We start from the raw sequence: 26,300 nt of genomic DNA on the forward strand, positions 1-26,300 counted from the left end.
GGGCATGAACATTTGTCAAAATTCATTGAACTGTGCACATAAAATGGGAGCATATCATTGGATATAAATTATAAGTCAACAAAGTTGATTTTTTTAATGAAAAAAGTTTTTAAAATAAAAATTCTTGGTCCCCATTCCTAGTGATTCCAATACAGCAGGACTGGTATTATGGGAGGAGACCACCCCTCATATTGCCTTATGCCCATTTTCTGCCTCCAAAGAAAGAAAAACTAAAAACTAAAAGGCAGAAATGAAATCCACAAGCAGACAGCCCGGCGCCACACCCTGGGCCTGGTAGTTAAAGATCGACCCCTGACCTAATCGGTTATGTTATCTATAGATTACAGACATTGTATAGAAAAGCACTGTGAAAAATCCCTATCCTGTTGTGTTCCGATCTAATTACCGGTGCATGCAGCCCCCAGTCACGTACCCCCTGCTTGCTTAATCGACCACGACCCTCTCACGCGCACCCCCTTAGAGTTGTGAACCCTTAAAAAGGACAGAAATTGCTCACTCGGGGAGCTCAGCTCTTGAGACAGGAGTCTTGCCGATGCCCCCAGCCAAATAAACCCCTTCCTTCTTTAACTCGGTGTCTGAGGAATTTTGTCTGCGGCTTGTCCTGCTACAATATAGGGCTCAGAAATCTGCATTTTCAACAATCCGCATGGATAATTATGCTGCAGGCTGTTTCACTTATCGTATTCGTCTCTAATTTGCTGTCCAAGCACCCAATTCTTGGACAGCAAATCAACTAGGCAAACAAAGAAAATTCAGAAAAAAGAGTTTGAGTTTTTGTGTGCCCTTGTTTCATCCCCCAACCTCCATTCTTTAGCTGGAATGCTGGTCACTACCAAAGCATCCTCCTGTGTGCTGTTTCCCCTAACCGTGAGCTCAGCTGTGGATAAGCTTCCTTTATTCATTCTTTACCAAAGAAAGTTTGCTAGGAAGATAAATGGGAGAAAAGCAAAATAAAAACACATCAGGAATGCAGATAAACCAATATATGTGCAGAGCACAAGTTCCTTCTCATAAGGTCATTCAAGTCTGGCACCACGTGGTGGTGGGGGGTGGGCCAGCTCACTGGGCACATGGTACCCATAAATATGCCTACCCTGGGGGAATGGAAGGTTGACAGGGAGCCTGATGGACATGTGTGTGAAGAACGGAACAACACAATAACAAACATGCGAAGCGTACTCATAGCCCTTCCTCCTTCCCATCCCATTCCTATAAAAGAGGAAAGAACAACTCATTTCCTTCACGGGGCATGGTGGTATGCATCTGTAGTCCCACCTACTCAGGAAGCTGAGGCTAGAGGATTCCTTGATCCCAGGAGGTCAAGGATGGAGTAAGCTATGATCCTGCCACTGCACTCCAGCCTCGGTGACAGACAAGACTTTAAAAAAAAAAAAAAGTAAAGGAAAAGAAAAGGAAAGGGATATTTCCCTGCCAAATTAATTTAAACCAAGTGCTCTATTTCCATTCATTAGTTTTTTCCCTGCTGCCTGATGTATCTTTCTCATATCTGGCCCCCTGTTCTGTCTACCTGTTGAAATATTTCCCATTCTTCGTGGCCCAACTTGAGTAACACCTCTGTCAGAACTTATCAGATCAACACAGTCAAATGAATCCTCTCCCTCCCCTGAACTCTATGGCACTTGGCTTGAAGAGCTCTTACAGAAATCTTGAGTTGTGTTTTACTTATTCATGTGCATGGCATATCTACTCTATGAGATTGGAATCAACTTGATTATAGAAATGATAACTTATTATCTATGCTAGATGTGGCTTGCATAGATTCTGTACATTACTTTGCACCTAGTGAGTGGTGATTATTGTAGACATGAATGAATGATTCAATCGGTGCTGATTAATGTCTCTGAGCTTTTGCTCATGCTGTCTTCCCTTTATGGAAAACCCTTCCCACACCAAGGGTCACTTCCTGTAAGAAGCCTCCCTGGATCTCCAAGCTGCTGGCTCCTATAGCACTCTGGGCAAACCTCTGCCTGATTACTCACCACCACTATCATACGTCAAAGTTAATCATGACCAATTTCACCCACTTATTTATAAGCTTCAAAAAGCCTAACATTCCATTCTAGTCATGCTTCTCTTACCACCATCTAGCACAGTGTTTGGTAATAGTGTGCATTTTATAACTGTTTGTCAAATAGAATGATCTATTCAGAAGCTTCTGGAAGCGTTAGCCCTTGCCACAGAGGACCTCGTTTATTTAGTGTTTCTATCAGGAACTGCCACAGTTGTCTTGAGGTCTCACTCCCAGAGGAAACCCAGCATGAACAGCCTTCCCATCCCAAGTTTCGTCACGGATGAAGGAAGGAGCAGGACCAGACGCTCTTTAGGGTCCCTTAGAGCCCCAGGATTCTTGTGTTCCAGGGAATCCCCTGGCAGAATAGATTGCTGCGAGCAAAAGAGGCGAGTGTGGCCCCTCCTCAGCAGGTCTCTAGATGAACCCCAGCCTCTGGAAGGCCTGGACCTGGGAAAAAAGAATTCGCGTCCCTTCAGGGCCCCACGCCTTCCTGTCCTCCAGCACATTTCTCTTTCTTGGCCCCACCTTCCCTTTTTCTGCTTCCTCTCTGCTGGCCTCTCCCCTTCTCTTCCTTTCTTTTCTGTTTCTCTTCTCCTACAGGTCCCACCGCACCTTCCCAGTATCGCTGCTTCCCCTTCGCCTACTTCCCAGTCTGGCCAGTCAGATTCACCGTCCTTCTCGGGTCGCCTGCGTTATCTTGCTTTCCTCCCACGCCCCGACAGAGGCTCCCTCTCGCTGGCCTCCTCCCTCTCCTCTCTGCCCTGCAGGCAGCAGAGCCTTCGCTGACGCCAAGAGGCAGCGAGGTGGGGAGGCGAGGAGTTGGGGAGGTCTGGAGGTAGGGGGTGGGGTGGGGGTGGGGCCTTGCGCAGCCGCCCCGCCCCGCGATGCGTGTGTGAAGGTCGGGGTGGCAGTGACGCGGCGCCGGCGGGGGGAGGGAGGCTGGGCCGGTGGGAGAGGGAGGCGAGCCGACCGCTGGGCTGCTGGGCTCCCGCGCCCTCGCGCTCCCCGCCGCCAGCCCAGGCGCAGGCAGGGCGCAGGCGGCGGCGGGCGGCATGGAGAGCCTGCTGGAGAATCCGGTGCGCGCCGTGCTCTACCTCAAGGAGCTCACGGCCATCGTGCAGAACCAGCAGAGCCTCATCCACACCCAGCGAGAGCGTATCGACGAGCTGGAGCGGCGGCTGGACGAGCTGAGCGCTGAGAACCGCAGCCTGTGGGAGCACCAGCAGCTGCTGCAAGCCCAGCCTCCGCCCGGGCTCGTCCCCCCGTCATCGGCCCCGCTGCCGGCCGCTCCGGCCACCGCTCCTGCCGCCGCCGCCAGGGCCCAGGAACCTCTCCAGGACCAGGGACAGCGCTCAGCAGCCGCGCCGCATCCCGCGCCCGATCGGCCGCCGCGTCAGCACCACGGACAGCTCCTGGAGCAGCCCCAGCGGGGCCCTGGCAGCAGGGCTCACACACCCCAGTCGCCCCACAAGCATCTGGGGACACAAGGGGCCGTGACTGACAAGGAGAAGGAGCGTCCCCCGAGTTGCTGCGCTGCTGCCGGAGCCCTCCTTCAGCACAAATCCCCCTCCGCCCTCGGCAAGGGCGTCCTGAGCAGGAGACCTGAGTGAGCGGGGAGAGGAGATGGGCACTGTTGTGGTGGGAGCAAGGGAAGCAAGTGGGTGTGAGGGAGAGACGGGGACGTTGGGTGCGTAGGAGTCTAAAGGACCGGAGTGATGTGGCCTGAAGGCGCCAGAAGTGTGCAAAGGAGATTTTGGGTAAATGAGGGAACGATATCCCTGCTTGAGAAGGTTTTGGGGAATGCTGGAGCAAAAAGGAGTAACCAGACCATTAGTAGGAGCAAAGGAGGAAGGAGGTGGGTGTTAAGCGATTGGTGATACTGGGAACTGACAGCATTTAAACGGGGTTAGGCTGGGTTGAAGTTCGAGTGAAGATTAAACTGTAGAAAAGAGAACCATTGAAGGAATCTTTTTAAGTGAGAAAAAATTTGGAAGGAAGTTTGGGTAGTAAAAGTATTTGCATGGAGACTGAGATGTGAGAAAAGCTGAAGGCTTGGAAAGAGGCATGTGAAGAGCTTTAAAAAGGCTGGGGCCCAGGAAGAGTAGGACTGGGGTAGAGGGGAATCCAGGAGGCCGGGGACAAACCTGAAAAGCAGGAGTGATGTGGGAAACCAAGGGAGCTGGAGGCAGAGGAAGAGAAAATGTGGCTCTTTAGCTGGTGAAGTGGGAGCCACAGCTAGGAGTGGCTCATTTAGGGAAGCTTTCTCTTCTCTGACCTGATTGGACACCCTTCCTCTGAATTCCCGCAGAGCCGAAGAGGTGCAAGGGAACATCCCATCAAACCAATGGAGGACTCAGGCATGGCTTGAGGACTCAGTCTGGTTACAGCTTTTTCCTCCAACTCAAGGAGGGTTTTTCATACAGGGTGTTTGGCCGTTGTTGAAAGGGAGCAATGACATGGGGGACAGTTGGCAGATGGAGTTGGTATTCAGATGCCATGCCTGTTTAAATCTCCCTGTTAAGGCCAGCAACTGCAAACCCTTTTTTCCCGGTTATCTGGTGATCACTGAAATCTTGCCTTGGGTCCTGAGAGAAATGTTAACCTCTCAGTTCCTAGAACTTCAAGCTCTTTCTTCACTCAGGAGGTCCATGAACTAGGAATATGGGAAGAAGATATGAAAGTGTCTGGGATGTTCTCTCCTCTGTACTGGAAAGGCTGTGGCCATGTCTGCTTCTTTTCTCTGATTAGGCAAGTGATGGAGAACTAAACAAAGAACAGTTCAAGGGAAATTGTCCCTGGTCAGCACCTGACCTTGACAATGGTGATGCATAAGGGAATGGGGAGGGGGAAGTAGAGCTGAGAATCTCATCTTCATCCAGGTGCATTAAGTCTGGGAGATACTTGTGAATATTTGCTGTATTCCTTCAAAACTCATTTTCTTTTACCATCTGTGGTAGAGTTAGAGAAGTTGGGTTAGGGCAGGGTAGCTCACAGAGCACGTTGATCAAAACCACAGGATCTAAGAGGTGAAGGTCTAACATGATCTGGCTTGGCAGACTTAAAACATTTGATTCAAGTCCCAAGAAGATACAGTTTTCTACCCCAACTCCCTCAAAACCCCTTTGTACTTCCCTCAGTTTCACATTTTTATTTTTATTTTTTCCTTATCTGGCATAAAAAGCAGAAAGTCAGTTTTCCCTCAATGCCCAAGGCTCAGCAAAAGGCAACATTGTTCCAAGATACTAAGTGGTCTTTTCCCCCACATGAGGGGATGAATTTTTCCAGTCCCCTTCCCTGAGGGCAGCCACAGCTACCTGGTCATTATGATTTCTCTCCTCATGACTTTTGGTGTCTCCTGTCTCTCCCACTGCAACTCCACTTTCTTTGCATCTCTTCAGGGCACTGTGTGGCCAAGAAGAGTTGAGGAAAGATTATTTTTCTTAGACAAAGACATAGCCATAGCCTTCAGAGTGGCCTACGGAACCCAAACCCTTTCACTCAGTTGGTCCTGCTCGGAATCCTGGGATTTAGGAATCATCTGGGCTCCTGTCCAGCTCCACATGTCAATTCTGGAGAGGAGTTATAATATCCTCACCTTTCCTTCTCACCTGTCCTGCTTTTGCTTCCCAAAGGAGCAGAACAAAAATAAAAAATAATTAGCATGGTGGAGCAGAGTGGAAGTTATTGGAATCTTTCACTTAGAAAGTTGCCCCAGGCACTTAACAGTAATGCCTTACTTTCTCCAGATTCTCCAGCTTTTTCTCCTGCTCCCCAATCCTGCACACTCAGAAACATAGAGACCATAGATGTGCCTGCCTCCCCTCATCCCTGCAGCTCTCCTTCCTTGGATGTGAAAACATGGTAATCTTGGCTGGTTGAATATCTTCTGGACCACTCATTTCTTTCCCCACAGTGGCCCAACTTCAACACCAATTTCCCCACAGAGCTCAGGACGGAATCACCATTGCTAATGACATGTTTCGTCCTACCCTGCTCTCTGCCCGTGGCCCGTTTTGTATGTTTGTTCTCCTCTGCCCATAGTTGTCTATGATGCAGGACAAGATGGAGCCAGCAGGCAGACAGAGATCTCCATGGAGAGGGAGAGGTGAGGAGGAGGAGAGCAGAGCCAGCAGCCCCCTCCCTGGTATTGCTCCTGGGGAGCTCCCCGCAGAACTGGTTCTCTACTGGGAGTGCTGAAGCGGGAGGAAGAGATGGCACAGTGGGTCTTCCAATCATGGGTTTCCTGTGAATCCTCCCTCATTCTTCCTCTGGCCTCCTTTCAGCAAGAACGCGACCCCACTGAGGTGGCTGAAGAGTGGGTGAGGGTTTCCAGAGGCCAGGCACTCTGGTAGATGCATTATGTCCTCACACAGTTTGACTTTTATCCCCAGAACTCCTCTTCCTACCCAATTCCAGGAGAGGCAGAAGCCCTAGATAACTGGGACTGGAAAATAATGAATCATTTAATTGCCATCTTATCTGCATTAATACATAATCTGGCCTCTCTCCCTCCTTCAGCTGAGGGAGACACAAAGGTGGTGGTCTTGGAGGTCAGTCCAAGAAAGCAGCAATATGTGGGTGAGTGAATGCAGAGATATTATGGAAGAAAAACATTTGAAGGGTTAAAATTATTTCTCTGCATGCTTCTTGATTCTTGCTAAGCTCTGACCCCCACTGCTTTTGCCTCTTAATGAAAGCAGCAAACATAGCTTCCTCCTCCTTATTTTTTCAATCAAGGCTCACGGCATCTACAGAATTTATTACTATCCCTTTCCTGGCTGGTGCCAGAACCTCAACTTGACCTGACAAATCCTCTTGCCATGGAAGCACATGAACTTATCTGAAGTGGCTGGCTTCAGTGGCTTCTAAGCACATTTGCCCAACCACCAGTCATGCGTTTAGTGTCCATGGATGACAGGGCTTGTCCATGTCTCCAAGGCCACAGGCAGATGATTGCTGGAGGATAAATTCTTGCATCCCCATTCAAATTCATCTCCTACTCCAAATCCCAACCTCAATATGACTATGAAGTCTGAAGGGCTCCACAGCTCCTGTCTTCTCTCTGTTACATTGCTTCTTCCTTTCACATCCCTCCTCTGCCTCACTACCCTTTTTCCTTCATTCTCTTCTCCCCTTCTACCTCTCCCCCAAACACTTTATCTCTCCCATCTTCTCTTCCTTCTATCCTTCTTCCACATAAGCTACACAGGGAAATCTCTTTCTTCTCTACCCTTATCCTTTAAACACAAAATCAATCTTGAGTATCTTTTGAGCTCCCTCTTCTCATTCTGGCTGGAGGCTGGGGATAGCTAGAAGAGTTCTGGATGTGCTTTTTATCCTGATTTGTCTAAGATGCTGATGGGAACTGGGATCTCTGCTCCTATTGAGTCAGAGTTGCATGCTTGAAGGTGATAGCTCATGACTGGCCCATCCTGGAAACTATTAAGAAAGAAAGTGTGAAGGTCTGTCAGTCAACTATATGTATCAAGTGTCCAGTCTATTCAAAACCCTGCACTCAGTGCTGTGGAAAGATTGGAAAGAAGCAAATGGTCCTTGCTCAAAATAAAAGAGACACATATCTAGAAATGCCTAAACAAGTGTAAGTATATTGCAGCTGCCTAAAGCAATCCTCTATCAGAACAGCACAAGGTAAAAAGGGTGAGTATACAAATTATGTTAACAGCCAAAGAGCAGGTTTTCTTCACTGAAGTCAAAGGTTTATGTCAGAATTGTAAGAGGCAAGGATAGCTGGAAAGGGAACAGAAAGCAGAAAATTCAATCTATGGAGATACCTGTTTTGCATGTCCATTTCATTCCAGCCTCTGATGATACAGCCCTCTGCTCATCCTAAGTCCCTACCCATGAGGCCAAACCCTATCACTAGGTGAGGACAGTCTCAACACACAGGGACTTTGTCTACCTTGTGCCCAGAAGGCCTGGTTGCTGAGGTGGCATCGTATGGCCCATGCTCATCAATCTGCCTATCCTCTTGTTCTTCCCCTATCCCCAGCAGGGAGAGAGTTTCTAGTCTAAGAAATGGGGCCAGGATGAAGGCTCACTGGGAGAAGGGAGTGTGCGTCTTTTTATTCATAGCTAGAAGCTGGCATAGTGTGACCACTTGCAAAGATTTGCTGCCCTTTGCCTTCCTGAAGGCCTAGGCCACTGCTCTTCCTTTCTTTTCATCCAAAAATAATGCATTTAAGAGAACCAAGTCATCCCATGGTCTCTGGGAAACCCTGATTGTCTCACTCCTCCTTACCAGCCTCCAGCTCCCTCTTTCCTCACTCCCAATCTCTCCCCAGACCAATGCAGTGAATGCCATAGGGCCTCACAAAGGCATCCTGGCACATTTTCCTGCTGGCCCAAAACCAAGCAAAGGAAACAACAGTTGGTCCTGCTGATTCAGCAAATCTCTGCGCAGCCCGAGTTTCAAAGGTCACTTACGAGAAAAGGCAGCTGGGGTCGGGGCTGGGTGGAGAAGGAATGGAAGGGAGGGTAACATTAAAAAAGAGGGAAGGGCTGGGACAAACATCAGGGCTCACAATCTGGAAAGAGACTCAACTGCTGAATTTACACCCCATGTAAAGATTTTTGGACAAGCTGCCTTGTTGGGAAGCCTGAACATTTTTTTTCACTGGAGCCTAAGCATATCTCAGTGGCCCTGGGCACAGGGCAATGGCAGCTTAGTAAGGAGTTCTTAGTAAGAGGCCCTGGGGACACTCTCACTGCACCCAGCAGACTCTCAGAGGTGAGGCCATCTGGCAGGGTTTCCAAGGCTGGGACCACTGTAGCAACTTGCTCCTCTGCTTCTGGAAAAGCACAAAGTGCAGGTTCCCACAGAGGCTCCAAAGGGCTGCTTATTTCCATGGAAGAAAGGGGTGGTCATCTTTATTTCAGTCAATGAGGGCATTAACAAAAAGAAAGGGAATCAGGGCCAGGCGTGGTGGCTCACGCCTGTCATCCCAGCACTTTGGGAGGCTGAGGCGGGCAGATCACAAGGTCAGGAGATCGAGACCATCCTAGCTAACATGGTAAAAACCCGTCTCAACTAAAAAATGCAAAAAAATTAGCTGCTCATGGTGGCGGGCGCCTGTAGTCCCAGGTACTCGGGAGGCTGAGGCAGGAGAATGGCGTGAACCCAGGAGGCAGAGCTTGCAGTGAGCTGAGATCGTGCCACTGTACTCCAGCCTGGGTGACAGAGCGACACTCTGCCTAAAATATAAATAAATAAATAAATAAATAAATAAATAAATAAATAAATAAATAAAAAAGGGAATCAGGAGTAAGGCAAGGGCAAAGCTAAATCTTTCAGGCTGAAAGGAATTTCAGGTAACCACTGGATCACACAGTGTTCAAGATCCAGATGGTTGAGAACATGGGCTTTGGGCAAGCACGCCTGGGGAGAAATCTTGGTACCTCCCCAGCTGTGAGACGTCGCCTTCACTGTTTACTTTCTTTTAGCCTCTGTTTTTCCACTTATAAAATGGGGAAAATATCTACCTTAAAGACTTGTCGTAAAGTTGTAAAAATTACATATCATTTATTTAGTACTGTTTGGGGTACATAGTAAGTGCTCAATACATTGCAGTATTTCTACAGATAAAGAAACCAAGATGGCAGATCAGCTGAGGTCAGGAGTTTGAGACCAGCCTGGCCAACATGGTGAAACCCTGTCTCTACTAAAAATACAAAATTAGCCAGGGATGGTGGTCCATAGTAGTCCCAGCTACTCGGGAGGCTGAGGCAGGAGAATCACTTGAATCTAGGAGGCTGAGGTTGCAGTGAGCTGAGATTGCGCCACTGCACTCCAGTCTGGGCCACAGAGCGAGACTCCATGACCCCAAAAAAAAAGAAAAAGAAAAAGAAAAAGAAACCAGGGCCCAAGAAAGATAAAAGGTTCACCTGTTGTCAGATGACAGTGACAGACTAGAATGCAGGCTCAGGGTTTCTTCTACACTGCCAGGCCACCTTTCTACATGTGCTCTATTCTCATTTAGCCATTCCAGACACAGGAATGTTGAGCATACCCTGAAAAGCAACCAGCAGCACAAATCCACCATCCCTCTGTGATCTGTAATGCTGTCTCACAAATTTCTAGTTGGCAAAGGCTTCTTTAAGCCCAACTAAAACCTCTTCTGTTGAATTTTAAGATTATTTGCACTTCTCTTAAGGATATCAAAGAGATCTGAGTTATCACCCGATGCCCCATGGTGAGAACAATCACCCCTATTTCCTAATTAGGAAAATTACAGTCTCATCTAGGAGAAGGTACACTGACTTGTCAAGGACAAAAGTGGAGAGTGAGGGAAATGGCATCTGAACCCAGGAAGTGCTTCCCACTTCTTCAGAATGAGGCTGAATCAATTTCTCCAAGTTCCTCCTTCCTAGGGATGGAAGGTAGACCTGTACTTTTCAGAACTCTGAGGTCAGAAAGCTGAAAAGAACAGCAGGGAGGGACTAAGAGGCCTGATGTGTGGTTGTGGGTTTTCTTCTCTTAAAGACTTTTCTTACATGAGATATCTTCCAGGAAAATGAAAACAAATGAAAAAGAAAAGATGGTGGCCTTCTAAAATTCTCTCCCAGGGTGTTTGTGACTGTGAGGCCACCATAGGCAAAGACTGCTGATGTGTGTGTGTGCCCGGGTGGGGGTGGAGGGCAGACTGTTTTGCTGTTGCTCTTTGGTTGGAATAAGGGATCTGGGAGGGTTATGTAACTCTTCAAGACTGGTGTGCGTGCTGAGCGGCACCTTTCCTCCCTGGCAGGTGGGCTGCTATGGTCATGCGGGCAGCCTGTCCAAGTCCCTGCCCAGAGAAGGGCCCCGTGCTCTGTGCTGGCATCAGACCATTCCCTCTAAGCCACAGCTTCAGGGGCTAGAGGCTTTTAGGAGCTGGGCCAGGGTCTCCTAGCCCCATTGGGGAGTTAACCAGATATCAGAGCTAGAAGGATTCTTTAAGGTAACCTGTTCAAGATTCTCATTTGGCAAATGAGAAAACTAAGGCCTGAGGAGGAAGTGACTGTTGCTTCCAAACTAGCTAGTGTCAGAACTAGGTTTAGAGCTCAGATTCTCTTAACTCTTCATCCACTGCTCTCAACATTATGTGACGATGGACCAAAAGAGCCCATCAGGGCTGCTTCACAGGTGTGCAAGGCCAAACTTACAGCTAGTCCCATAACCCCAGGGAGGTCCCCGTGCCTTCCAGGATATCTCAACTATGTTAATAATTCCACAGTCAGAGACGACTTTAGGTACTTCAAGGTTATCCTCCTTGTTTAAATGCAAATTCTCCTAGGAAGGGGGACAAATCAACACATTTATTCTTATTAGTCTTTTATACTTTAGTGTGAAAGAGTTTATTTGAGCAATCTCCCAGAGAAGGGTTTGGTAAGAAGGGAGGATACTGGGGTAGCAGTGGTTAACTAAAGGCCAGGGAAGGAGGCTGCTAAGGAGCTGAAGGGCTCATGAGGGAGGCAGATCAGTCTAAATGTATTTTTAGCTCAACTAAATTTTGCAGAGAATTGGAATTGCCTTGTTTGGCTCTGGTAAGGAAAGGGGAGGGACACAGGGCACTTCCACTGACTGGTCATGGAATAGTAAGTCTTTGGGCTGTAGAAGGGATACTTTTCCAACGAACTTCATGTGTGGAAGACATAAAGCAAGAAGTTAAAGAGCATCATGATGTGTGATAAGCTTGTTTGCTCCTTTCTAGGATCTTAAAATAATTTTTTGGATGGTGAAATGTCACATGACTCTGTTGGGGTTTGCTATGGGGCAGGAAGATGTGGGCAGGAAGAGCTGGCAGGCAGCAGAGGTTGGTGTCGCACGAGCCTGAAGGGGATGGGAGATGAGAGTCAAACTCAACACCTAGAAGGTGCATGATAAATACTGGTTGAATACATAAACTCTCCGTCTGTAGGGCCCAGGCAGGCTCATGGATTGTTGAGTGGAGGTGGGTTGTGGTATCAGGGCTGAGGAAGAGTTGGGCAGAAGGGAGGACCCCTGGGTCCAACAGCACAGCTCACTGTCCTGAAGCTGAGCCCATGCGGAAAGCTGCTCTCAGAGGTTCAGTTCTTCAGGCTGGTTGGGGTGTGAGACGGATGAGGGGTGAGGAGAAGACTGCCCCCGGCAATAAACAGAACCGACCCCAATCCTAGCTATGAGCAGGGAGAGCCCTCTACTCCCTCTGCCCCCAGCCTCTGACCACTCTGTCAGCCCAGGAAGCTGCATTAAGAACAAATCTCTGCAGTGAGAGTTTCATCACACACACACACACACACACACACACACACACACACACACACACAAGGCCTCAGCAGGTGGAGTGAGAAACGGGCAATGGGCCTATGAAGGCAGGAGGGAAAGGAGGCTGGCATTGTGGCCGTATCTCTGGGGGAAAAGAGAGGAAAGAGCTGGATTCCGGGGTCATGAACCAGCAGCACCCAGATTCCAGGCCCCTTACCAGGCAGGATCAGCTGTGTTCAGGGAAGTGTCAATACCGTGACGGGACGGTGAGCAGGTGGTGCGCAGGCGTTTGTGGACCTGAGTGGGCACGACTGCGTGGGCAACTGTGTGTTACTGACTTGGGCTGGGGGAGTTGGAGGACAACCCACACTATACTAAAGATGCATAGGCTTCACAGCAAAGATCAGCATAGCTTTATCTCAGTATCTCCCAATGACCCCTGGCCTGGTCACGCCATCAGCACTCCCAGTTCCTTTTCCTTTCTCTGCATGAAGTGTTTCATCTCCATTGGCTAGCCAGATCCTCCTGGTTCTTCCCCTCTGTAAAATGGGGCAAATCTACCACGCCTCCATACCCACTCTGTCTGGAGCATGCGGGAGACCAGGCCCCAGAGGCGTGAGCTCCTGGGAAGAAGGCTGTGTGGAAGGGGACAGGTACAGGAGCTGTGCCACTGAACTCTACGGAGGTATAGTGTCTGGAAGCTCAGGTACGGGGCGGCCAGACACACACAAAGCTGTAGTGTGATTTTCCCTGCAGGATATCTCGGCCTAGCTGTGGCCAGGGCCTGGTACCAATGACCTCTCAGGGCTTTGGATGCACCAGGTCAAACCAGCCAACCACCTGCCTCCAATCAGGAATGCACGCCCCATCCCAGGCAGAGAGACAAGGGAGTTCCACAATTTCTTCCTTGATGAATGATTCCTATCTACCACAATTTTCATTCAATGCATCAAATCAACCAATGATTATTTAAAAACAGCAGCTACAAAAACTCTGCAAAGCGGGTGGGAATTTCCTGCTTGGGTCTAGCCTCCGTGTTTCCCGCGCACAGCCCGGTCTTTACCCTGGATGCTTCCGAACCGGCATCATCTGGCATCTCCGACAGTCTTGATGCGACTTAACGCATGGTAAGAACCCATCAGAGAAGGCCAAAGGGATTTCCAGAGACAGGTAGAGGCACTGCGCTGGGCAGCACCAGGGAGGAATATTATCTTTTCAAGCAGCTGGACTCTGACCTAGAAGCCGGAACTCCTGAGTACTGAGGTCAGCACCTCTCTCACACACCCCCAGCTATAAGCTTGAAGGAAGCCCCTCCCCTTCTCTGGGCCTTGATTTCCCCTCCTGCTCAGTGGGGACGTTCTTGGTCCTCCTTCTTGCCCACTCTACCCAGTCGCCGAGTCTGGCGAAGCAGAGCTGTCTGGGGGTCACCGCAGCAGGAGGGACCGAGCTTAGATACGAAAAAAGACTTCTACACGGCAAGAGCCACAGAAAGGACGCTCCAGCTGGCTCAGCAGAGGGGCATCTCTCCCTTTCAAGAACAAAAGGTGGCAGGTACCCGGGGGCCCTGGGGCAGAACGAGGTAAATTCTGCACGGACTTCCACATCTAAGACCCCAGAAATCTCCAGCCGGCTCCCTCCGACCGTGAGTGCGTAAAACCCGGGAGCAGCAGGAGGGGAGGGCGGGGGTGCAGCTGGCCCCCCTGGGGTGTCCCCTCAGTCCCTGCGCCCCCGACCCTCGCCGGGCCAGCCTGGGGAAAGCCTTTCCGCCTCCGTGCGCTGCCCCGACTCCTACGTGGGGAGGGAACGTGGAGTCGGGATCTCGGCGGCGTGGGCGGGCCGGCTGGCAGCCGGCAGGCGAGAAGGAATCTCCCGGCCCACGCGCCCCCTCCCAGCGTCCAGCCTCGCACTTCCTCGCGGGGGCGGCGGCGAGGACCTGCACCCCGGCGCGGGGAAGCCGCGTGCCCACAGCCTCCGCGCGCCCCCGCCGCCCCGCTGAGGAAGGCGGCTGCTGAGTCACCCGCGAAGGGAAGCGCGGCCCGGGCGCCCCCGCCTCCCCGCGCCCCAACCCCCGCGCACAGCCGCCCGCCCACGGTGTCTGGGGCCTCCCGGCGCAGGGCGCCGCCTCCTCCCGCGTTCCCGGCCCGAGGGGGCTCGGAAGGGGCTTCGGCGCTGCGGCACCGCCCGCCGCCAGCCCGGGGAGCATCGGGGCCGCGGCCTTCGGGCCGGGTGCTGGGTGCTGGGTGCGCGCCCCTCCTCGGCCTCCACGGGCCGCAGCCGGGGCTAGTGTGATGGTGCGAGTAGATTGCCTTGGAGAAGAAGGGGACATTGAGGCGGGGGCGGCTAGGAGGGGTCGGGGATGAGGACGGTGACACCGAGGTACAAATTCTACTCAGCATCCACCTTTCCTGTCTTCCTTGTACCCAAGACACCTCAGCAAAAAAAAAAAATAAATTTAAAACTCCCAGCCTTATCTTGGCCTTCTCATGTTTATGTTTGTGTTTTATCGCATCACAGTCTTAGAATTCCCAGGGCTGTAGGTCTCCTCAGCCTACGGTGCGGCATAATAGTTCTGAGCAGGGCCCTGGGTTTGAATCTCGACTCAGTCGTTCACTAGCTGTGTGATCTCAAGCAATGAGAGCCTCGCGTTTCCCGTTCGTAAAATAAGGAATACGAATGGTACCACCCTCCTGGGATTGCTGGGAAAATTCAGGGGTGATGCCAGTAAAGCGTCAGGCAAGCCGAGTGCCTGGCACGCAGTGAGGGCTCGACGCGGGGTGGTTGCTGTCACTTTGGGACCCTTCCAGTGGCAGAAGGTGCTCTTTGAAGGTGAGAGGCCTCACCACCCCCCACCCTGACCCCGGCATCTTCTAAGGGGCTCTGAACAGGACTCCTTCCCTGTTTGACTTCACACCCTTTCAAATATTTGAAGGCAGATAGCCATCCTTCCCTTCCCTTGCCTTCCAGTCCACTGACACCCCTCCGCCATCTACTTTCAGGAGAACATACCTGATCCTGGCACTTCCTGCTCCTCATGGTTCTGCGGGTGGCCCTGCCTCACCTGGGTTACTGCTCTCCGAGAACACAGAGGGAGCTGGGAGTGAGCCCTGCAGCGCAGGGGCTGTGGCCAGACCAGCTTTGGGCACAGGGAGGCCCTCCCTCACCCCCCGCCTAGCTTTGGATGGTGGCTAGGGACCCACTGGCTTTCTCAGCCCCAGCCACAGATGGGACCTATCACACATGAGGTCAGCTAAAGCCTCAGGGCTCTTTCACTTGAAGGACTCTGGCTTCTGGCCACCTGTACTTGTACAGGTGGCTTTTAACATACACACAAAATTGCTAATGTAATTTGCTTTTAATGTAATTCACCTTTTCCTTTCTTTAAGAGATGGTGACTCTGTCACCCAGGCTGGAGTACAGTGGCACAATCATTGCTCTCTGCAGCCTCGAACTCCTGCGCTCAAGTGATCCTCCCACCTCAGCCTCCCAGGTAGCTAGGACTACAGGCATGCATCACGACACCTGACTAATTTTCTTTGTTTTTGTAGAGACGGAGGCCTCCCTATGTTGCCCAGGCTGGTCTCGAACTCCTGGCCTCAAGCAATCTTCCCAATTCAGCCTCCAGAGTAGCTTGATTTACTCTTTTCAAATAGACAATACATTGACCTAGTACAAGATTCAAAAGAAAAGAGTTTACAGTGAAAAGCATCGCCCCCATCCTTGTTTCCTAACCACTCGAATTCCTGCCCGCCCCCACACCTTCCAGCAACCACTATTATTTCTCACGTCTTTCCAGCTATATGTACATTTAAGCAAAATGTTTATTTCTTTTTACAGAGATACTAGTATCCTATATGCTGTTCTGCACCTTGAGTTTTGTTCCCTAATAATGTATCTTAGTGATCTTTCCTTATTAAATATAAAAAGAGCTGCCGCGTTCTTTTTTAATAGCCGCAAAATATTCCACTGTATGGCTGTGAAGCTAGGTCCTTTCTGCTGTCTGCTGAGAGTTTTGGAAGGCAAGTAATTATTTAAGGTGGGCTTTCTGAGGGCCAGAGAGGGGAGGAAGCAGGTATGATTGAGCAGCTGCATTTGAACTTGCCTCTCTGGCTGACGTGCTGCTGCAGCCTCCTGCAGACATGGGTCAGTTGCAGCAGAAATACGATTCGGCAAGTGCTTCTCCGTCTGAAAACTCCAGCTTGGTTCACTTTTGCTCCCCGGGGCTCCCTTTGTTGTCAGCAGTTATCAAGTTTGGGGGAGCCATCAGGGTGTTAGCATCTGGCTCTAAACCAGCTGAAGGTGAGTCCTACAACCCCAGCAGTTTCAGGAAGCCTTCCTGAACCGATCTGATAAATAAATAGATGTTCTTATAGCCTCACTCCTTACTTTTCACCCCAGGCTGAGCACACACCAGTCCTTGCTAAGAACAAAATTAGTTCTTTATTCTTGTGGCTTAGAAAAGCTTGTTTTCTTCTTTCTGTAAGTATATATTTTCCTGGCATCTGTATTCTTCCTTTCACTTAACAAATATTTATTATCTGCTGTGTGCCAGTTACTATTCTAGGCCCTGGGGTATAGCAGTGAACAAAAAAACTCCCAAATTCCTTTATGAAGCTTACAGACAAACAAGATCACTAATGAAAACTTATAGTGCATCTGATGGGATAAGAGCCCTGGAGAAAAAGCAGAGAAGAGACCCGGAATAAAGGAATCTGCACTTTCAAACTGGGTGCCCTGGGGAGACAGCACCTGAGCAAAGTCCTGGAGGAGGGGAGGGAGGGAGTTCTGTGGCTGTCTGGGGACGGGCATTCCTGGCAGGACAAACAGCTAGCATAGAGGCCAAGGGTGGGACCCTGCCAGGTTGTTCAAGTAAGACAAGGGCCGAGAGCACAGGGAGAGGCGCCTGAGGCCAAGTCAGAGAGATTGTTGGGGCATGGGAGGGTAGGAGGGTGCAGGCGCGTAGCAGATCTTGTAAGAGATTCTCAACTGGGATTTCCAGGTCCACCAGGGAGCATTTGGAATGTGTGGGCACATTTTAGTTGTCACAAATGCTGATGGGGCTTGGATGAGGAAGGTTGTTGTTCTGTGGCATGCAGTGGGTAAGGGCCATGTCAAACATCCTGCAGTGTGTGGGACAGACCACACAGTGAAGAATTTTCCTGCCAGAAATGCCCCTGTTTCTTGTTGTTGAGGGCATTGGAGTCCGTTAGGAAGTGTTTGGCTTTTACCTTCAGAAAAACTAGGAACCAGTGGATGACTTTGAGCAGAGGGTGCTTAAAAGGAACTTTGGATGCTGGTTTGAGAATAGACTGAAGAGGGAAGAAAGGCAGAAGCAGGGAGTTCAGGTAGAAGGTTGTTACACAGCCCAGGTAAGAGATGCTAGTAGCTTGGACCAGGGTAGTAGCAATGAAAGTATGATCTGCAGCCAAGACAACAGTACTTCCTGAGGGATCAGTGTGGGATGTGAGACAAAGAGGAGTTGAGGATGAGCTCAAGGTTTGGGGCCAAAGTTATTAGAAGGATGGGATGGAGAAGTCCATGGGGGATGAGGAGGTTTGAGCATTTGACGGATGGCGTTTGAGACAGCTCTTAGATGTTTGAGAGGAGATGTGCAGTAGGCATTTGGAATGGGCTGGAGGTATAACTTTGGGATGCTTTTAAAGCCTTGAGACTGGGCCACGCCACCAAGGAGTGAGAACAGAAGATGAAAGAGGCCTAGGGCAGATTTGCAATGCACACAACACTAAAAGGTGGGCATGGGAGCTGAGAAGGAGCACCCAGAGGGAGGAGAACAGCCAGGAGAAGCACCTAGTGTTCTGGCAAAGAGCGTTTCAAAGGCTGCTGAAACGTGGAGGATGCAGACTGAGAACTGTCCATTAGCTTTAGCAACATTCAGGTAATTGGTGACCTTGAAAAGCATAGTCTTGGGAGTGGATTTGGAGGCTTGATTAGTGGGTTTGAGAGAGAAGGGAGGAGAGACTTTAGAGACAAATCAACCAAATAGAACATGTGGACCTTTGATCCGGCTTGATTTAGACAAAGCCATTGGAACTAGACATTTTTAAGACAGTCGGGGAATTTGAACGTAGATGAAGTATTAGGTGATGTTAGAAAATTGTTAATTTAGTTAGGTATGATTATGGTACTCATATCTTTTTAAAGTTCTTACCTATTAGAGGGATACATTGTGGGTGAAATGATATTTCTGGGGCTTGCTTTATAACACTGTAGCAAAAAAGTTGGGAAGTAGAAGACTGGCAAAATATATGTTTGACATTTCCCTAATAAAATGTGTAAAAGATGCCAGAATGGGAGGAATTGTAGAAAGTTCTGATGAGTTTTGCTATAAAGAGAAGCAAAGAAATGGGGTGACCGCTGAAGGGACGAAGCGGGTTCAAGACAAAGGATTGTTCTTTAAGATGGGAGAAGTCATAGCATGTTTGTTTCAGCAGCATGTCAGCTAACTACACATGCTGACCGTCCACCGCAGCAAAGGCCCTGTCCTAACTCCTGTAGGGAAACTGAGAATGACTACATCACTCCTGGAGGAAAGTCATCATTTAATGAAAGCTGACATTGACCATGCACTTACTATGAGTGAGGCACGGTGTTAAGCACTTTACAAACTTTCTCTCGATGTGTCCTAATAACACCTTCCCGAGCTAGGCTCCATTCTGTATTCCAAGCAACGTGAGGTTGCTTGTGCAGATTCACACTCAGCCAGTGTGACCCTGGCAGGCAGTGCTCCTAGCCTCTACTCTCCATGGCCACCCCGCAGACAACTACAGTAACATGCATCCAAATCTCCAGGAGAAGTTTTTTCCAAATCCACGTGGCCCAGCCTCAGCACTGGAGACTGTTGTTCAGCAGGGGATAGGGGAAAGAAGACAGCCACAAATGCTTGCAGTGAGGCTCTCAGGAGGTTCTGACGCAGTTCCCTGCTGGAAAACCATCAGGATATATCAGCCTGGGCACACTCACTTATCGTCGCATACACCAGGGTTCACACCGGTGCTGTGGGTAATTAGGCTGGCTGAGGCTAGGGAAAAAATTAAAATGTGATGAGCTGGGCTGTACAGGAGAAAGGAGAGGAGGGCAGCTGAGCGTGGCATTGTCATTTAGGGATGGGAAATTCTGTTTAGGTTCCTCAAGGGCCAGAATCATATGTATACATTCATTTCACAAGTATTTGTTGAGCACCTACGGCATGTCAGGGGCACAGGGATTCGCGGTGAACAAGTCGAACAAAGCCCCTGCCGTCATGGAGCTCCCATTCCAGAGGAGAAGGCAGATATTTAACAAGAAAATTCACACACGTATAACAGAAATTCCCAAGGACTAGAAGAAAAGTACGGGGGTGGCTAGGGGGAGGATAGCTCTGAAGAGAAGTCCTCACTTAGGGGGTGGCATCTGAGCAGAGAGATGAAATAAAACAGAGCACGTGAAGACCTCAGGGGAAAGCGTTCCGTGTAAAGGCCCTGGGGCTGAAGGAAAGGCATGTGTTCAAAGAACAGAAGAAGGGAAGGGGGGCCAGAGGGGAGCAAGAGAGGGAGGAAAGAGACAGGGAGAGGAGATGGCATCACAGTGGGCCTTCTGAGGGAGTTTGTGGGGAGAGAGGTTGATGGGAAGGCGGGCGGGGGAGGAGGTGGGTTGAGAAGTGGAATGATGTGATCCACACTAGAAAACAGAGCTTAGGGGTTCAAAGGCAGAGAAGGGAGAGCAGTTCAGCAGGGAGCCCCGGAGCGCCGTGCACCCTTGTTTGGTGTCCACTCATTTATCCAACCTTCCTTTCAACCTCCACTTACTTGATTTCTGCTGTGTGCTCGACATTGCTGTGCATTTGTTATCTCATTTATCCACATGGTACTGACGGGAAGATATTACAGTCCCTACTTCACAGAGGCAAACTGAGGCTCAAAGAGGTTAAGGTGATCCACCCAGGGTCACACAGCTAAAGTGACATCTTCAGGATTCGTGTGTGAGCCTCTTACACCCTGGCATAGCTGTCCTCACTGTAAGAGGAGTCCCCTGTGGTGTGGGAAGTGCTTCCCCCAGGCAAAGCCTAATCTGGGACAGAGACCATTGTTCAGGAACAGAAAGGCTGGTGGCATCGTGCCCATATGACAGTTGTTCACGTTGCTGCAGCTCTGAATTTGGCCCGTGGCCCACTCATCTCAGTGCCCAGCCTGGCAGGACTGGGCTTGATGACTGGCAGAGTACCACCCACATGCAGCCACAAGATGAATGGTTTACAGGTCCCCATGGGACATCACATCCCTGCGTGGCCCATATGGTCAGGAGGGTTCACATAGTGGACAAAACATCCTTGTTCTCAGCTCTGCATGTGTGCGTGTATGCCTGCACATGTGTGCACGGGCAGGGTTGTATGTGAGAATATGTATGTGTGTATGTATGCATTTACAAATCCAGGAGTGTGCACACATGTGCAGGATGGTGTGTGCATAGGTTTGGGGCGTTTAGGACCTATGTGCATTGTTGTAAGAGCTCTGAATGAGTGCATGAAGGGAAGCCTGCATGTATATGTGTGTCCACCAAGAGGTACGGGTGTATGTTTGTGTGTACACATCTTTGTGCACCCAGGCAGGTGTGTATGAGTATGTTGAGCCTTTGGGTTTAGCAGATTCACCAGAAGCAAACAGCTGTTTTTGTGGGCATGTGATTGAGGTACCTGAGCAGTCTATGCTAGAAGGTCAGTTGAAGCTCTGGAATTGGGGATTGGCTGGGTAGGTTTTGATGTTTCTGTCAAACTTCAAGAGTCTGACTGTGCTATGAAGGGCAAGATCAAGGCTCTTCCACTCACAGCCCAGAGGCCACCTCCTCTGCAGATGCCTGGGGTCAGGGGGTACAGTGAGAATGGATGCCAGAAGCAGCGTGCAGCAAAAAAAGTCAGAGCTGTGGGTCCTCGGGAGGTCGTCAAACCTCCGTTAGCCTCAAATGGCATTAATAATAATAATGACATTAATTATCATTAGTATCATATTTTTCCATGGGATTACTCTTAGGATGTTCAGAAAGGTTTTTTAAATCAGAAACATGCATAAATGCAGTGTTGCTATTGGTCAGGACTTGCCTTCGCCATTCCTGGAGAAACACTGCGTGCCCACAGCTGACGAAAGGTGGGTTAGGAACGCTGTGGAGGCATGCTGCCCTGGCGCTGTGAGGCAGGACTTGGTGAGGAGCAGCCTCAGAGCCTGGCAGAGGCCCAATGGCTTTGATCCGTCCTTTCAAGCTGGCTTTGCCTAGCTGCCAGGCACCCATCTGCCAGGTAATACAGAGATCTCTTGTGAGGGAAGCTGGCAGGATGCAGCCACGGGCCCAGCTCTGCAATTCATGCTGTGCTGCCACGCCTGGCACTGGGAGCCCTCTTGGCTCCCTGCAAAGTCTGCTGGAGTTCAAAGAACTAGGCCTCAAGCTGGGCAACTAAATGGCTCTGGCATTTCTGACAGTGCCACCCTGCTGGGCAGGAAGAGAGACAGTGGCATGGAGCTCGAGGACTGACAGCAAGCTCTCACTGTTCTGGGGCTGGGCTGAGTGGCGGGGTGAGCATGGCCGAAAAGGAAGCTAGGGCCTCCTGGCATGCTCAAGTTACAGCCTGGGTTTCCTGTTCTGAGTTAAGCTCCCCCAAGACTGCCAGGTAGATGCCAAGGCTGTGATACTGAGCAAATATCTTAGACTCTCTGAGCCTCCTCATCTGTAAAATGAGGATTAGTTATAGAGATGTTGTACTGCCTTGAGCGTGTGTTGATACTGATGAGTAGGTCTGTGTCTCTAGCATGTGTTGTGCCTTTGTTTCCAGGCATGTGCATGTTTCATATATGTGCACACTTAATCCCCCATTTCTCTCCAGCACCCTTAGGAATCGGGATTTATTCACACATTCAGTCAACAAACCATTTCTGCTCTAAGCCATGTGCCAGGCTATGTTCTGTACTGGATGTAGAGATGAATTGGTCACAGGCATGGCTCTGGAAAACTCATTCTAGTATAGGGAGATATGACATGTATATAAACATCAGTGATACAGAGTGGAAAAAATAGATGTTGCATTCCACTAATGTCTCAGGGAAGCTGCTGAAGGAGTTCAGAGGTGGGCGCTTCCGGCCTAGGTGGGGCAGAGGCCAGCAGGGTTGGGGGTGAGCACAAAACAAACAAGGGAAGGCTTTGTGGGAGGAATGTCTTTGGCACTGGACTCTGAAGGCTGGGCAGATTCTGGATGTCTAGATTTCTGAGAAGCCTGGGATCACTGGCTGAGATGGCCATCACCTTTAGCCTATTTCCTAATTGTAACATGGTGGTATGGGTACAGGCTTTGCTGTCCCCATAATACTGTGAGGCTTTGGAGTGTGCGGTAATCGGGTCTGGGACAGTGAGGGCTTACTCATTGGACCAGGCTCAGATCTAAGCATTTTAGATCTGTTAGCTCATTTGCTCATCACAATAAGCCTTCGAGATAGATGCTGTCCATATCCTATTTTATGAGTAAGGAAACTGAGGCTCAGTCAGGCAAAGATATTAACAGGAAAATAGCAAAGACGGACTTTGAACTCCAGACAGCTCCTGCCTACCCCATATCAGCGCACGGCCTAGTACAAGCATTTTTGTGTGTGTGTGCCTGCTCTGTGCTAGGTATTGTACTAAGCACAACACAGGTATCTTGTTTGACCTTCACAACAACCTGATGAGGTCATTTCTTGTATGACCTCCCTTTTACAGTTCAGGAGACCGAGGCTGAAGAAGATCAGATAATCTGCCTGTGATTCCACACCCATCTTTTGGAAGGGCAAGGATGCTATGCAGGTCTTCCCAGATCCTTAGATCTGGGAAGGCCTACAGCTCTCCGTGAAATTGTGCTCTCTCCTGTGGTTCTAGAAAGGGCCTCCATGAAATTCCTTCCCCAAAGTGTTCTGTGGCTCCCTCTCAGCTATATGCAGGTGCACTCCTAGGACCAGAGGCAAATAACCAACAACATGCTGTGAGAGCTACCTCAAAACTCAAAATAACAAAACAGATCTCTGTTTTGCTCAGAAATCTGTAGTTTTGGCAGAGCTTATTGGGGACAGCTTTTTTCTGTTCTGCATCATATCTGCTAGAGGGGCTTGGAGGATGGAGGTTCATTATCAGGATGGTCATCAAGCGGCTGTCAAGCTGGGGATGGCTGTTTGTTCCTTTCCATGCACGCCTCTCCATGGAGTCATTTGGGCTTCCTCCCAGCATGAAGGCTGATTTCCTCTCATCACCATGCAAAAAAAGTACTAGGAAAACCAGGGCAGAACACTTCTCTGAAAGTCATGGGAGGGGAGTGTTTCAAATAGGGAGATTTGGGCCAACGTATGCTACAGAAAAGTGAAGTCAGACGCTGAGAAGTTCTTAGATTTGGCAACTAAGAGATCACTAGGGACCTCCCTAGATTAAATTCTGCTAGGCCTCTGGGGGAAGAACCCAGATGACAGCAAGTTGGCAAGAGATCAAGGTGAAAGGAAGCTCACACAAGCAGACAACTCTTTTTGGAAGACTGACTGCAGAAGGAAAGAGTTGTAACCAGGGGAGCAGAGTTGTAGGGAATAATCATGGTTTTAGGATGAGAGATTTGAGCATGTTTATATGCTGAAGAAAAAGGGCCTATGAAAATAATGACACTGAAGACCAGTGGGGGAGGAAAGGGGGTAAAGAGCGATAGGGCTTGGAGGGAAGGCAAACAGCTCTTCCTTGAGATCAAAGGTATCAGAAGTAGGACACATTCATAACAGCTACCATGTATTAGCCGTGTTCTGTTGTAAGGGCTTTCAAAGTGTTTTAACTCATTTCATCCTTATACAGTCCTTTAAAAAAGTTCTGTTGTATACGTGCGGTTAGGTAGGATTCCTCAGGAAGGATTCCCGCAGGCTTCACCGAAAGGAGGACTATGGCGGGCCCTTGCAGGGAGGGGCACGCAGCACCTCTCTAAGGCCAGCATGACTGGACACGGCAGAGCTGGCTTCCCGAAGCAGCAGGAGGGCTTCGGGTTAGAAGCATGTTTTCTCAGCTGTTTCTTAAAAAAGGAAACTTATTTTTTTCAAAATTAAACCTAACAGATATTCCTAAGACATAAAACTAACCAAATCAGAGCTTCATTAGTTGAATGGAAGGTTCTGTGCTCTGCCTTCTCCATTCTCCTCTTAACCTTAATAAGGTCCCTGCAGCAGCTGGTGGGGCACTGGGCCTCTTCGGAGTACAACAGAAAAAACACTGAGTTACTGCAAGACCAAACTCATACTCTTTTATGAACATCTGAAAAACGTACAGTGTGTTTTTAGGAAAAACCTCACTGAATAATAAAGGGGCAGGTCACTGTTTTCCTAGGACTCTGTTATCCTTCTTTTCCTTGATGGCAGAGGCATGGACTAGAAGAACGTCAAAGCTCCCCCAAAGAAAAGTGAGCAGAGAATCAAAGAGAAGCAAGTCCTGGAGAGCAGGGGGTCCCTGTGGAGATTCCATCCTCTGGCAGGCTTGGGGCAGAACACTGAACCTGGTTGGCCAACCTGGGTCTGGATACCAACAGGCCAATGTTTTCTACAGCCTTTTGCCCCGGCTTCTGGAACAGCTGTAACTGCTTGCCTTATTAAGATCTTCCCAAAGCTCTCTGTGGAAGACTGTACAGTGGTAGATTGCACCAGTGAGCAAAGGAAATCTACCTCTCCCTCCACAGCCCCCAGGCCTGCAGAAGAAAATAGGGACCAGAAAGAAGGAAGTCAAGATGGCATCCTGGTAGGGCTCTGTTTGAAAGAGAATTGTGGTTGCTGAGTTTCTCAGTAGCAGAGACTAATAATATCAGTAATATTCATTATAAGGTTTTGCATTTGTGCAGGGTTTATTATGTTTCTCTCAAGGTAGTTTCATATTCAAGTCTTGCTTGAATATGAATCCCCCACAGTTCAGTAAAATAAATAAGGCAGGTGTAGGAGCCTTGTTTACCATGACCTGACCCTCCCAAAGGTGAGCATAGAGTAGGGGCTGGGTCTGCATCTCCAGCCCAGAGCTGTTTCTATCAAACCTTCTAGGGACTCTCAGTCCTTAGGCCCAGGCCCCAAATTTCCCCCATTCAGCCATCCCCACCCCCAATTTTCTCATTGTCCCAGTTTCTGGCCCCCTGGACTCCTTTGGCTCAGTGATGAACCATCTAGTCTCTGAAAATACAATCTAGCAGTTGAAAGGAAAGAAAAATATAATGTCTTTTTCTACTGCTTGGAAGGGGGTTAATCATTAGGTGATCTGGGGGCAATGGGTGGAGGGAAATTAGAAAGGAAATTATTCTAAAGCCTCTTGATAAAATAGCAAGAAATGAGAAGGAAGAGGAAAAGATTTTGGTCTTTTTTCTTTTTAAAAATCAGTTGGATTAAGCTAAAATTAGATACAATAAAATTCAGCCGTTTTACATGTATAACTTGATGAGTTTTGAAACATTACACTTGTGTAACAACTATCTCAGTCAAGATACAAACATTTTCATCAGCCAAGTGACCCTTTGTTCCCTCTTACAGTTCATCCCTTCCTTCCTGCATTGCTGAAACTTACCTCTGTCAATATAGTTGTGTCTTTTCTAGAATATTATATAAGTGGAATCATACAATATGGAGTCTTTTGTGGACACCTTCCTTTATTTAATACAACGTTTATGAAATTCATCCATGTTGGCTGATGTATCAGTAAGCATGTTCCTTTTTATTGCTGAATAGTATTACATTGAATGGACATACCACAATTTATCCATTTGCCAGTTAGTGGACATTTACATTGTTTCTGGGTGGTTTTTTACATACATGAATAGTTTCGTATCAGTATAACTTTTTGTTTATCTTGGGTAAATACCTAGGAATGCAATTGGAAGGGTATATGATAAATGTATGTTTAACTTTAGAAGAAACTGCAAGACTGTTTTCCAAAGTGTGGCACTATTTTGCATTCCTTTCAGAGGTGTATGAGAGTTCCAGGTGCTCCGCACCCTTGTCAACA

General features: G+C 49.1%; 1 protein-coding gene across 6 annotated transcripts in view; it reads left to right on the forward strand.

Annotated features, from left to right (window-relative positions):
- Positions 1–2,989: 2,989 nt before the first annotated feature.
- IQSEC3 (IQ motif and Sec7 domain ArfGEF 3) overlaps positions 2,990–26,300 on the forward strand; it is a 111,689-nt gene continuing 88,378 nt past the window's right edge. For 5 of the 6 annotated variants that reach the window (NM_001170738.2, XM_011520958.3, XM_011520960.2 and 2 more), the window contains exon 1: positions 2,990–3,659. In NM_001170738.2, coding sequence (NP_001164209.1) covers positions 3,106–3,659 — 554 coding nt within the window. In that variant the 5' untranslated portion in view covers positions 2,990–3,105. Of the gene's footprint in view, positions 3,660–13,598; positions 13,936–26,300 lie in introns of those variants that run through there. The other variant, NM_015232.2, reaches the window with a different exon arrangement.

Source organism: Homo sapiens, chromosome 12, assembly GCF_000001405.40.
Source record: "Homo sapiens chromosome 12, GRCh38.p14 Primary Assembly".
Taxonomy (NCBI): domain Eukaryota; kingdom Metazoa; phylum Chordata; class Mammalia; order Primates; family Hominidae; genus Homo; species Homo sapiens.